At 34.5% G+C, this 13,869-nt stretch overlaps 1 long non-coding RNA gene across 1 annotated transcript in view; it reads left to right on the top strand.

Annotated features, from left to right (window-relative positions):
• LOC105375633 (uncharacterized) overlaps positions 1-13,869 on the top strand; it is a 101,755-nt gene that overhangs the window by 68,558 nt on the left and 19,328 nt on the right. The window lies entirely within an intron of this gene.

The following is a 13,869-nucleotide window of genomic DNA, read 5'->3' as shown; positions in this document are numbered from 1 at the left end:
AATTTTTAAAATAAAAACTTTTATTTTTATAAACTATCATAAAGAATGACTAATATTTTAACAATTCATGTGATTAGTGGGTAGGAACAGTAAGGTATAACTAAACACAGATGCTCAGTAAAGTTAAATATGTCTATAGTGCTTTTTAAAATCAAAATTGGAAAGGAGATATGTTAGCATATTGAAACCATTAAAGTAGGGTGAGTCACTAAAGATGATTAAGACAAATATCTTTTTCCTACCTCTTACTTACTTTTTGTAGCTTCTAAACTGTGATCTAGTAAGCCATTGCTTTAGACTAATACACCTTCTGTCCCCGATGGAAGGGAGCATAACATAGAGATTAATTAATAATGTCAATTCAGGAGAAAGTGCTCCCAAGTTCTAATACCAGCATCATCATTTACTAACGCTGTGACCTTGGGAAAGATCCTCATCCATCCTCTCAGGGGCTGAGTTTCTTTATATGTGAAGAGGAATGATTAATTGTAACTACCTAATGGATTTGTTAGGAGGATTGAGTATAATAACAACTAAAAGAACTTAAAACAGTGCCTAGTACATTGTAAGCGCTTAATAAATATTGGCTTTAATTGTTATTACAACTGGACCCAAAGAATTATTTAATTTTCTTGATGTACTTAATAACAAAGATATGCCCAATTTCCCAACTCCTGAAGGTCAAAACAGGGGAGACTGAGCTGTAATAAAGTTAATCTGCTATTTCTCAACTACCCTGATAGGACAACAGTTAGCCCTATGGTCAGCTACTGTGCCTGAAGAAATTCTAGTGTCAGAGTTTCTATGGCAAAGATCCCTTCTACAGGAATGGGGATGATTTTACCCCTTTCACAAATGTTGCTTCAATGTACCCCACAAAATTTCGGTTATATTGATTCAGTAATAGTATGAATCATGCTTGGTAGTAAGCAAGAAAAGTTATGATTTTGTAGATTATCCAGTTTTACTTATTGTTACAATGGGGTTCATGTTCTTTTGTGACTTTCTAGATCCTAAAGAGAAGCAGAACTAACTTGGGCATTATTTTGTCAAATAACCTTTATGCTCTAGCATTTCCCTCTTTTAATTCTAGAACTATTTTACGTATAATAGAACTTTAGATATTTTCCCACATGTCTCTGAGGCAATGCTGATATTTTCTCAATCTTTCTCTCTTTATTCTTCTGATTGGATAATTTCTAGTAGTTGATGGACTCTTTCTCCTGTACCCTGCTGTTAAGCCCAGCCAGTAATTTTTAATGTAATAGAATGCATTTTTAGTCCTAGAATTTCCTCATTGAGCACTTACTGGGTCCCAGAGGTGACTTTATGTTTTGTTTACACCTTAATTTGAGACGAATTTTGGAAAGTCATAACTCTTCAGAACCATAGTACACCCTTTTCACATTGATTCTCCTTGTTTCTACTTTAAAATAGTCCACTGAAATCAAACACCCTTTAGTAGAGCAGCTGTTTGTAGGGAAGTGGCAGAGGAAAACATTTATCTCAGACCTCTAGATAAGGTATAAATTCTCCTCTGATTTAACTCTCTATTGGTTGGACATGTCTTTAGTATCTTTCTTGTTCATATTCACAACTAGTTTACTCATATTCATGTGATTGTCCAGTCCATTTTAGCAACTTATTTTCTATACCACATCTAATGTGTCTTGTCGTTTGGTTAAAAATAAATCAGTCCATTCTAGTTTGTATATTCATCTAAGTAGCTTCAGGATAAGGGCTCCTAGCAGAAATTTTTATCAGATACCAGTACCAGGAACAGCTGTGCATCTCCTGAACAATTGGTTTGTTTGTGAATCTTCAAACAATCTTTTGTAGTACTGTGAATCTTGAAACTGATTGTTTTTCCCTCTTTGCTTTGTCACTAAAAGAAATTCAGAGTCCAATGTGTAGCTCACCTCTAAAAATACTACATAAACTTATGATAAAGATTTTGGTATACTAACCTTAGCTTGTTTTATTTTCTACCACTATTTTCTTTTGTACCAGATAGTCTCATCAATTTATCCTTTCTATACTTATGTGATTTGTAAGAAACATTAACTTTCAAAGTGTATGTAATTAATAAATAAATTTAATTACTATTCACAAATTGAAATGCTCCAAATTGTGATATTCAATCCTTTATATCCTAATCCTGGTGAGAAAAGTGTTGTGAACAACATAATCAATTTCCCACATCTTTGAATTATACACAATGTGCGTTTATTTTAAGCCTTGGTCAGTGAACTGGTTTCTGAATATTCTTATTTTGCTCCCACTCTAAGAAATATACCTTCTACTTGGAATTAATAAAATTTATTGAGATAAAGTTATCATTTCTTTGTAAGTAGCCTTGGAATCTTTAGTTTCTATGTGCCTATCATTGTAATTAAGGTTGCTATATTCCACTGTGTTACGACCATCATTGTTGGAGAGTATCTATAAACTTCCTAAAGTCAGATAATTTTTGCTTGAAATTAAAAGTCTTGACCTTTGTGGTAGTTACATTGAATATTCACTTTACAAAAATTAGTTGTGTCTAGATTTTGTATGAGTTTTTCTAAATGTAACACAATTCACAATAAAAAAAGTTTTTCATAACTAATATTACTAAAAGCCCAGCCAGATATAAAATTAATTATAAATATAATCCTGGGGAGATACATAAACAAATTTAGGAATTATGAAAAAATGTATTCAGCTTGGTCAACTGGTTGATCTGAACCAATTCTACTGCCAAGAACAACTAGAAAAGTTTGATAAACAATGTTTTTAAAAATATGAGAATATTGGTGAGCTACAAAGGAAGAAATGAATACCAAACAAAAGCACAGAGAAGAAAACCCAGAGAGGCAAGCCTGATATTTGGACTACTTTTCTGCAGAGACAGTAGCTAATTCTACAAGAGAAGTTTCAGAGGCTGGGAAGCTAAACTGAGCTTTCAACAGCACTGTGAGCTTAGGAGGGTGCAAACTAGAATGTAGAGGCTTCCAAGGAGAGGGAGGGCCCTACAAATCTCCAAATTTTAGGACGAGACCTCCACCTAAGGACTGAGGGTAAACTGATGTAGTCCAGCCCTCACAAGGACTGACATTCAGTTTTGAATCACCTCTGTTCCTGAGTGGATTAAGGTAAGCTGGTATTGCTTTTGTTCCAACAATCTGCCAGAAACAAATGCAAATATTATTTGAGATGAAGTTTACTTTAGACTTCAAATTACCTCTATAATTTTTCAAATACCAACAACTGGCATGAAATTTAAAAGATCAGGCACACAGGGAGACAAAACTACGGGATGGAAACCAAGAAAAACAACAGACAATATAACAGATGCTCAGATCATCCAGATAGTGACATTTCAGACACAAACACAGATTGTTTAAATCACAAGTAATAACAATATATCGTGTGGTTTAAATTATCTGTAAAAGTCAAATGGATGACAATAATAGCACAAAGTACAAGTGTATAAATCATAGTATAGTTTGGAAGATTCTTACCTTATAAGGAAGTGCTGTAATATTAATTTAAAATAGACTGTGATAAGTTAAGGATACATATTAAAATAACTAAAGAAATCACTAAAAATAAAAGAGTTACAGATAAAAATTTAAAAGAGGAGGTAAAATGAAATATAAAAAAATTGACTAGTCAAAAAGAAGGTAGAAGGAAATAGTGGAGTCTCAAGAAAAGATAGAACAAATAGGAAACAAGAAGCAAAATGATTGTTTTAAACCCAACCATACTGATAATCACATAAAAGGCAATGAACTAGATACTCCAATTAAAAAACAGAGAGTATTAGAGTGGAAAAAAAGCAATGCCCAACTGTATGCTATTTAGAAAGAAATGCATTAAATGTAAATACATAAATATATTAAAAGAAAAAATATGAAAATAGTAAGAATGAGAAAGAAGTATTTATATTAATAAGGCAATGTAGATGTCAAGAAAAGAGTACCACCAGAGACATCACCATTACATAATGACAAAAAGTTTATTCATTAAAAGACATATCAATTCTGTTTCACGAATGAGCAAATAACAGTCTGTGAACCAAATCTGGCCTGCTACCTGTTTCTTTCATTTTTTATATTTTACTTTAAGTTCTGGGATACATGTGCAGAACGTGCAGGTTTCTTACATAGGTATACATGTGCCATGGTGGTTTGCTGCACTCATCAACCTGTCATCTAGGTTTTAAGTCCCACATGCATTAGGTGTTTGTCTTAATGCTCTCCCTCCCCTTTCCCCCCACACCCTGACAGGCCCTGGTGTGTGATGTTCCCCTTCCTGTGTCCATGTGTTCTCATTGTTCAACTCTCACTTATGAGGAGAACATGCGGTGTTTGGTTTTGTGTTCCTGTGTTAGTTTGCTGAGAATGATGGTTTCTAGTTTCATCCATGTCCCTGCAAAGGATATGAACGCATTCTTTTTTATGGCTGTATAGTATTCCATGGTGTATACGTGCCACATTTTCTTTATCCAGTCTATCATTGATGGGCATTTGGGTGGGTTCCAAGTCTTTGCTATTGTAAATAGTGCTGCAATAAACATATGTATGCATGTGTCTTTATAGTAGAATGATTTATAATCCCTGGGTATATACCCAGTAATGGGACTCCTGGATCGAATGGTATTTCTAGTTCTGGATCCTTGAGGAATCACCACACTGTCTTCCACAATGGCTGAAGTAATTTACACTCCCACCAACAGTGTAAAAGTGTTCCTAGTTCTCCACATCCTCTCCAGCATCTGTTGTTTCCAGACTTTTCAATTGATTGCCATTCTAACTGGCATGAGATGGTATCTCACTGTGGTTTAATTTGCATTTTTCTAATGACCAGTTATGATGAGCTTTTTTTCATATGTTTGTTGGCCACATAAATGTCTTCTTTTGAGAAGTGTCTGTTCATATCCTTTGCCCACTTTTTTGATGGGGTTGTGTATTTTTTTCTTGTAAATTTGTTTAAGTTCCTTGTAGATTCTGGATATTAGGCCTTTGTCAGAAGGGTAGATTGCAAAAATTTTCTCCCATTCTGTAGTTTGCCTGTTCACTCTGATGCTAGTGTCTTTTGCCGTGCAGAAGCGCTTTAGTTTAATTAGATCCCATTTGTCAATTTTGGCTTTTGTTGCCATTGCTTTTGGTGAATTAGTCATGAAGTCTTTGCCCATGCCTATGTCCTAAACGGTATTGCCTAAGTTTTCTTCTAGGGTTTTTATGGTTCTAGGTTTTACATTTCTGTCTTTAATCCATCTTGAGTTAATTGTTGTACCTGTTTCTGTTTTAAATGAAGTTTTATGAATGCAGCCATCCTTATTTGATTACATATTGTTTTTGTCTACTTTAGAGCTACAAAGACAGATGTGGGTTGTGACAGAGACAGTATGACACCCAAAACCTAAATTGTTTACTATTTGGCCACTTATTTTTTTAAATGCAAAATTTATTATGTGCATACAGATTAATAATAGAGCTTCTAAATACAGAATAAAAAACTGAAAAAACTAAAGAAAAAAACAAGAAGTTCCAAATGTTTAGCAATCAAGTGGCACATTTATAAATAATCCCTGAATCATAAAATATTAGCAAATCAAATCAAGAAATATGTAAAAAGTTTAACACATCAAGACTAAGGATTTTTTATCCCAGGATTGGTCTCATGTTGTAAAGTTAAACAATGTAATTCACCACATTAACAGAACAAAACAAAAATTATATGGTCATTTTACTAGATCCAAAAAAATCGCTGGACATAATTCAATACCTATTTATGATTGTTTAAAATCTCAGAAAACTAAAATGAAAAGAAAGCTTATCAATCTGACCAAGGGCATCTACAAAAATTTGCAGCTAACAGTATATTTAATGGTAAAAGACTGAACATTTTACCCCGAATTCTTACCACTTATATTCAACATTGTACTAACCTGTACAACAAGAACTGCCAAGACCAGCTCAGTCAGGGAGACCCTAACCCAGTGGCGCTAGAGGAATTAAAGACACACACACAGAAATATAGAGGTGTGAAAGGGGAAATCTGGGGTCTCACAGCCTTCAGAGCTGGGAACCTTGAACAGAGATTTACCCACATATTTATTAACAGCAAGCCAGTCATTAGCCATGTTTCTATAGATATTGAATTAACTAAAAGTATCCCTTATGGGAAACAAAGGGATGGGCTGAATTAAAGGAATAGATTGGGCTAGTTAACTGCAGCAGGAGCACGTCCTTAAGGCACAGATCGCTTATGCTATTGTTTGTGGTTTAAGAATGCCTTCAAGTGGTTTTCCACCTTGAGTGGGCCAGCTGTTCCTTGCCCTCATTCTGGTAAACCCACAACCTTCCAGTGTGGGCATTATGGCCATCATGAACATGTCACAGTGCTGCAGAGATTTTTTTTATGGCTAGTTTTGGGGCCAGTTTATGGCCAGATTTTGGGGGGCCTGTTCCCAACAAAGAACTAACCATGAAATAAGGCAAGAAAAAATATATATATATAAATTGAAAAGAAAGAAATAAAACTCTCTTTATTTTAAGATAAAATGATACTCAATTTAGAAGGTCCAAAGGCATCTACAAAACAACAATGGGAGTTAATAAATGAATTTAGTAAATCCACAGGATACAGAATCAATGCTATCCCTATCAAATTACCAATGTCATTTTTCACAGAATTAGAAAAAATATTCTAAAATTCATATGGAATCAAAAAAGAGCACAAATAGCCAAAGCAATCCTAATCAAAATGAACAAAACCACAGGCATCACATTATCTGACTTCAAGTATATTTCAAGGCTACAGTAACCAAAACAGCATGGTACTGGGACAAAAATAGACACATGGACTAATGGAAAAGATTAGAGAATCTAGAAATAAAGCTGCACACCTACACCTAACTGATCTTTGACAAAATCAACAAAAATAAGCAATGGGGAAAAAACTCCCTATTCAATAAATGATGCTGGGGGAATTGGCTAATCATATGCAAAAGAATGAAACTGTACACTTATCCCTCACTATATATCAAAATTAACTCAAGAAAGATTAAAGACTAAAATATAAAACCTCACACTATAAAAATCCTAGAAGAAAACCTAGGAAACACTATTCTGGACATCGGCCTGGCAAAGAATTTATGACTAAGTCTTTAAAAGCAATTGCAACAAAAACAAAACTTGACATGTGGAACCTAATTAAACTAAAGAGCTTCTGCACAGCAAAAGAATAAACAGATAACATACAGAATGAGAGGAAATATTTGCGAACTATGCGTCTAACAAAGGGCTCATATCCAGAATGTACAAGGAACTTAAGTCAAGAATAAAACAAATAACCCCCAAAGAAGACATACAAGTGTCCAATAAACATATGAAAAAATGGTCAGCATCACTAATCATCATAGAGATGCAGATCAAAACCACAGTGAGATACCATCCCACATCAGTCAGAATGGCTATCATTAAAAAGCCAAAAGATAACATGTTGGTGAGGATGGAAAGAGGAAAAGGGTCAAGAGCTGCAAAACTTCCTATTTGATACTATGTTTACTATCTGGGTGATAGGATCAACTGAAGCTCAAACCTTAGCATCACACAATATACCCTTGTAACAAACCTGCACATGCACCCCCTGAATCTAAAATTAAAATTAAAATTTTAAAAATAAAAGAAGAATTTGAAAAACAATAAACAAAAATCTAATCTTTTTTCTTGTTCAGTTCAAACTTCTTATTTTGTTAAGCTTGTAAGTGTTATTATACTTTTCACTAGGGTTCATTTAAATTAAGCCTCAAGGGTTTGGAATAAAATTAATTAACATGCGTATATTAAAGAACATATCTATATATTTTTTAAAATGCAGATCTTCTATTCTGTTCTTCTATTTCCATAATGCCATTTGTTGAACACTTTCTCCTAGTTCAGTGTTTAACACTAAGTCCTTTATGTAGATCATGCATTTGGATTCTTATTACAATCTTGTAAGTTATCATTATCATTTTACAAATAAAGAACTGAGATTTAAAAATAAATCAGTTATATTTTTATACATAAGCAACAAAAATTGTTAAAATGTTAAAATATATATTTAAAAAGCATAAACACATAAAATACTTATGAACATTTAAAATATATATAAGACCTCTAAAATAAAAACTATAAATAATTGAGGTAAATTAAAGGAAGCCAAAATAAATTGAGAGATATACTATGTTTATGGTTAAGCAATAATATTGCTAAGATATTCTCCCTAACTTTACCTGTAGATTCAAATCAATCAAAATCCAACAGGCTTTGTGTTGAAATAAGATAATTCTAAAAGTTACATGAAATTTCAAAGTATTTAGACTAGCTGAAACAATCTTGAAAAATAAGAACAAAGTTGGAGGAATTAACTGTAAAGCTATACTACTGAGAGAGTATGAGTGTAAGAAATACAGATAGATTAAAGGAAGAGAGTCTAGAAAGAGACCCACATGTATATACTCAACTGAATTTTCAACAAAAATGCCAAAACAACTCAAATGGTGAAACCTTTTCCACAAATATTGCTGCAAAAACTGAGTATCCATGTGGGGAAAAAAATGAACTTCAACCAAAAATCCACTTAAACAAAAAATTTAATTCAAGGTGCACCATAGTCCCAAATACAAAAGCTAAAACAGTGAACATTTCAAACATTTTTTGTAACCTTTGACTAGGAAACATTTCTTTGATAAGACACAGAAAGAACCAACCATAAAAGAAAAAAAATTATAAATTTTATTTCATCAATATTAAAATCTGCTCATCAAAGGACCCTATTAAGAAAATGAGTAGACAATCAATAGCCTTAGAGAATATATTTGCAATACATATGTCCTACAAAAAACTTGCATTCAGAACATATAAAGATTATTAAACTTTAATAAAAAGACAACACATTTTTTTAAAAAGGGCAAAAGACAAGTCACAAAGGAAGATATACAAAGAACAATAACTACATGAGAAAATGCTGAAAATCATTTACCACGGAGAAAATTAATAGAAACATAAATTAGACTTAAAATATTTTTTAAAATACATTGAAGAGAGGAAAGAAAATGATTTGAAGTAAAATAAGAAATAAACAGGTACAAAGGATCCAAAAATTAGTGACAGATAAAGAAAAATGCACAAGAGTATTTAGTACAACTGGAGTTCCCAAAGGTGAAAAAAATTACAACCAACAGGTCTAATACTTAAAACTATAATCCAAGAAAGCTTTATGGATATAAAAGACCTGAATCTACACATTAAAAGAGCTAGGCAACCCCTAAATCCAAACTACTAAATATTGCTTGGATTTATTAACTCCTTTCTATCTTCACTGCTACTCCCTTAGCTCAGGCCCTCATCACATTCTTCCTGGATCACTGCAGGGTCCTCATGCGTGTCCCTGTCCAATCTTGCTCCTCCTTCCAGACTGCAGCCAAAGTGTGCCTTCAAAAATGGTGAATCTGATTATGCCTTCACTACTTATAAACTTTTTCAGTAGTCTTTATTGCCCATAGTTTCAAGCCCTTTGTCATCTAGCCTAGCTTACCTGTCCAGTCTGCATTTACTTCCATCTCTTGTAGCATCTCTTCCACTTCTCTGTCATTGCCTTTTCACAATGTATAATTCACTGAGCTACAAGTCTTTGGAGGGCAGTAATCACTACTCACTCACAGTAGTACTCCTAGTGCCTAGTACAAGGCCTATACCATGGTAGTAGAATTGGCAAATTAAATAAGGATGTCCAGTTGAACTAAAATATCAGATAAACAACAAAGAATATTTTAGTGTAAGTATGTACTAAGTATTCCATGGAACATACGTATATTAAAAATTTATTCATTGTTTATCTGCAGTTCAAATTTAATTGGATGTCCTGTATTTTTGTTTGCTAAATCTGACATCCTACAAGGTAGGCATCTGGGAAGCATTATAGTTTATGAATAACAGCATTCTGGTTTTACATGAAGTGAAATAGGTACTGTGGAGGGCAGAGGTTTGAGAATCAAGAAATAAATTGCTATTTAAAAAACATTGTTACACAGCTATTTTACTACTTTCAAAGAGGCAAGCAGAACAGAGATACTGTGTGTTTCACAGTCATTACTTTAGTTTCCAGTCTTTTTTTAAAAAGTGACCTCTCAATATGAGTAGTGTTTATATATAACAAAATTTTGAAATTTGTTCCAGTTATATTTTGCAGCTCTGTTCACTGTATAACTTTAATCATGTGGTGGAGAATTCATTCTTATATAGAAAACCCTGCTTTCAAACGCAGATTTTGGCAATGACTAAGCCCCAAGATGCTGAAGAATGCAGCATGTCCTAAAAATTAAAAACAATGCCATTTCTAAGTAGCCTCTGACCCCTGAAATGTACCTATCCTAACTGCTGAAGTCCTGAATCCACTAGGTTTATGCATTTAAAAGAGGGTGGAGCCATGGCATGAATGCAAGGACTGCAGGCAAAAGTAGCAAATTCAGTGTACTCAGCGGAACAGAAACTGTCATCTTCTGAAGAAGTTTGATGGAAATGTGAATGTCAGCTTATCAGCAGTGGCATGTGTTGATGTCATGCTGAATTTTTAAAAATAGGTCCATTGATCATTGTTCTGCTAGGCTGTCTAAGTTTCAGTGTAATGCAAAAATGAAGAATTTAATCCTTGGTATTAGATACTTGAAATACTTGACCTCAGCCACTGATCAAATCTGTGTGGTAGATTGTATTTCTCAAAGGTATCTCTAATAGGAACTCTTATCCTACATTTTCTTTTGTGATGTGAGTTTTCCACAATCCCCCATAAGTTGGTGTCCATGTCTCCAGCTTCTGAATCTGGGCAGGCACTGCAACTGCTCTAATCAATAGAACATAGTGGCAATGATGCCCTGCCAGTTTGGGCCATTGGCCTTCAGTGGCCTGGCATACGTGCTTTGTGCCTTATGGATGTCAGTCCCCATCTAAGGAGTACAAATACTCTGAGCTCGCCACGCTGTGAGAAGCCCACGCCATGTGGACAAACCTTGGAGGATGAGAGACCATGTGGAGAACAAGAGAGGTCAAGGAAACTGAGGTGCGGAATGTGTCATAAAGAAGCCTTCTTGAAAGTGGTTCCTCAAGCCCCAGCTGCGTTAGCTGATACCATGTGAATTAGAGACAGACACCCAGGCAGGCTCTTCCTGGATTCCAGACCACCAAAAATGTGAGCAAAATAAGACTACCATTTCAAGTCTCAAGCAAAAGGTCTGTGACACAGTAATAGATTACGAAAGTAAAGTGTGACCTCGGGTTACCTGTCTAGGTCTTCTGAGCCTCAACATTGTAGTCTAGTCAGCCCAACTTCTGACTTTGCAACTATCACCACCATTATCATTACAGTAGCTCTTAAAAATTGAAAAGTAAATTATTTGATGGAGTACTATTTGTACTTTTGTGGTTATAGGTTGCTGAGTTTTAGAATTTTGTGTTTAAATCCTTGTTATATCACTTAACATTGAAGTGACACTGGACAAGTCACACAAATTCGCTAAGACTCAATATACTTGTCTGTAAAATAAAAAGACTGTGGTTTCTTTTTGACTGTGTTGTGATGAGAATTTAATAAGATAATACATATAAGCCCGGGGTCCCCAACCCCAAGTCCACGAACTGTTAACCAGTCCACGAACAGGTAATCAGGCTTGTTAGGACCCAGGCTGCACAGCAGAAGATAAGCAGCAGGTGAGGGAGCAATACTGCCTGAGCCTCACCTCCTGTCAGGCCACCATTAGGTTCTCATAAGAGCATGAACCCTACTGTGATGTGAGGGATCTAGATTGCATGCTCCGTAAGAGAAACTAACTAATGCCTGATTTTCTGAGTTGGAACAGCTTCATCCCAAAACCTCCCTGCCACACCGCCCCCACCTGTGGAAAAACTGTCTTGCATAAAACCGGCCTGTGGTGCCAAAAAGGTTGGATGTAAGGTATTTATCAGAGTACTCAATACATTAATGAGAGTTACTGCAATTAGTAATATAATTTATGAAATTACTCCATAAAACTTCAATCTAACTTGAAAGATCACTTGCCAAAATAATAGCTGAACTTACAATGAAAGTATTTTGTATTTTCCTATGATGAATTTTCTTTAAATGAGTTTCAGGTAGAATTATTAATTATGATTTGATATCTTGACACCCAAAATGCTAACGCTGAACGTTTAAATGTTCCTTATGCTTGTAGATCACTGAACAATTTAAAAATATATCCAATTACATTATCTTGGTTTGATCTCACAGCTCTGCAGTGGAACTTCGGGGCAGTATCACTCACCCAACTTACGGATGACAAAACCAGGCCAGTAAGGATCGATGACCAGAAAGTGGAAGAGTTAAAATTAGGAAAGATGTTCTCATTTTGTTTTTCTCATCAATACTCCTTAGAGAGATAATGAAAATGTTCTTTCCTACTCTACCATTAAGAATCTTACCTATTCTAGATCAACTTTAATATCATTATCAGATTCTCTGTTGATATCCCCAATTCAGAAGAGATCTCCCTCCTGAACGCCCATACTTCTTCAGTTACATATGCTTATACCCTTCATGACATTTGACATTGCATGATAGATACATGTGTATCTCTGTTAACAAATGCCTGGGAGAAGTGCTGCAATGAGAGGTGCTAGAATCCCTTCCCTTCAAGGCTGCACTCTCTACAAGGATAGGAGCCATATCTGTTTCTCTCCTTGCTTTGCTGTTCACCTGGCACTAAGCACAGTATAGGTATCCAGTAAATACATACTGAAAGAATAAATGAAGGTGTGAATTTGCACCAGAGCTTGGGACTTCAATTCTTAGCATAGAAATATAGAAACTAAGTTCCATGTAGCCAAGGAGTATGTATATAGATATGTGGGAGATCTCTCAGTGTGAGACAGTGGTCTGGATTAAGAAGTAAAAGCTAGCTCAAAATGGGACTAAGCCAGCCAGAGGGCTAGGCAAGGTAGGGCATCTCTGGGGGCTGCCAGGATGAAAACTACTAGAACCAAGTAATGGGGAAAGGTTTCGGGAGTAAGAACATGATGTCCAACACAGGACAGGCAGGGTAATATACAGAACTGAGACCATGATGGAAATTTAATTCTGAGACTAGAGTGATATTCAAAGGAGCAAATCTACCTTCATAGGAACCCTGCTAATGTCCAACATTATACCCGTGTTCTAATCATGTAAGTCGTGACCGAGGGTGGAGAGTTACTAAATTTCTCTTTATTTTCAATAATGTCTTGCTCATATTAGAATTTCAATTAGTGTCTGAATAATAAATGAGTTATAGAAAAAAACTTTATTTTAGGGCAATTACAATTGTTTAAAAGAAAAAAGCACCTTGACAGAATTGGAGGTTGGATGTTAGTGAAACATTAACAGTAACAAGGTTTATGGGCTGCGTGTCTGCAAAGGTAGCTACAGTGAGTTCGCATGTATACAGGTAACGTTTTAGAAGCAGAGAAAGAAACAAGTCTCTAGTAGAGAAATTAGAATAAAGTTCTATGTGGAAATTAATGGTGGATTTTAAATGAACTTGGATTCAGGAAAAAAATTCTATATACAAGAATTTGAATGAAGGAAATAGTTTTATATAAATGGGATTATAATTGCAGCATTTTAATAATAAAAATAGTGGAATAATCTAAATACTTAAAAATATAGATTTGTTAAATGAATTATTGTATATGCAAACAACTAAAGATAATGCCTATATTATATAAGTACAGTTGATTGAGAGAGATGGTTATTATTTATTTTAGAGTGACTAAAGGGTTTTTATGTATAAATGCAAATAAAAAATGTCACAAAGACATTTTTATA

The sequence above is a fragment of the Homo sapiens genome, chromosome 8 (assembly GCF_000001405.40).
Source record: "Homo sapiens chromosome 8, GRCh38.p14 Primary Assembly".
Lineage (NCBI taxonomy): Eukaryota > Metazoa > Chordata > Mammalia > Primates > Hominidae > Homo > Homo sapiens.
Note: the sequence above shows the minus strand (reverse complement) of the source record. Positions and strands in the feature narration are given on the sequence as shown.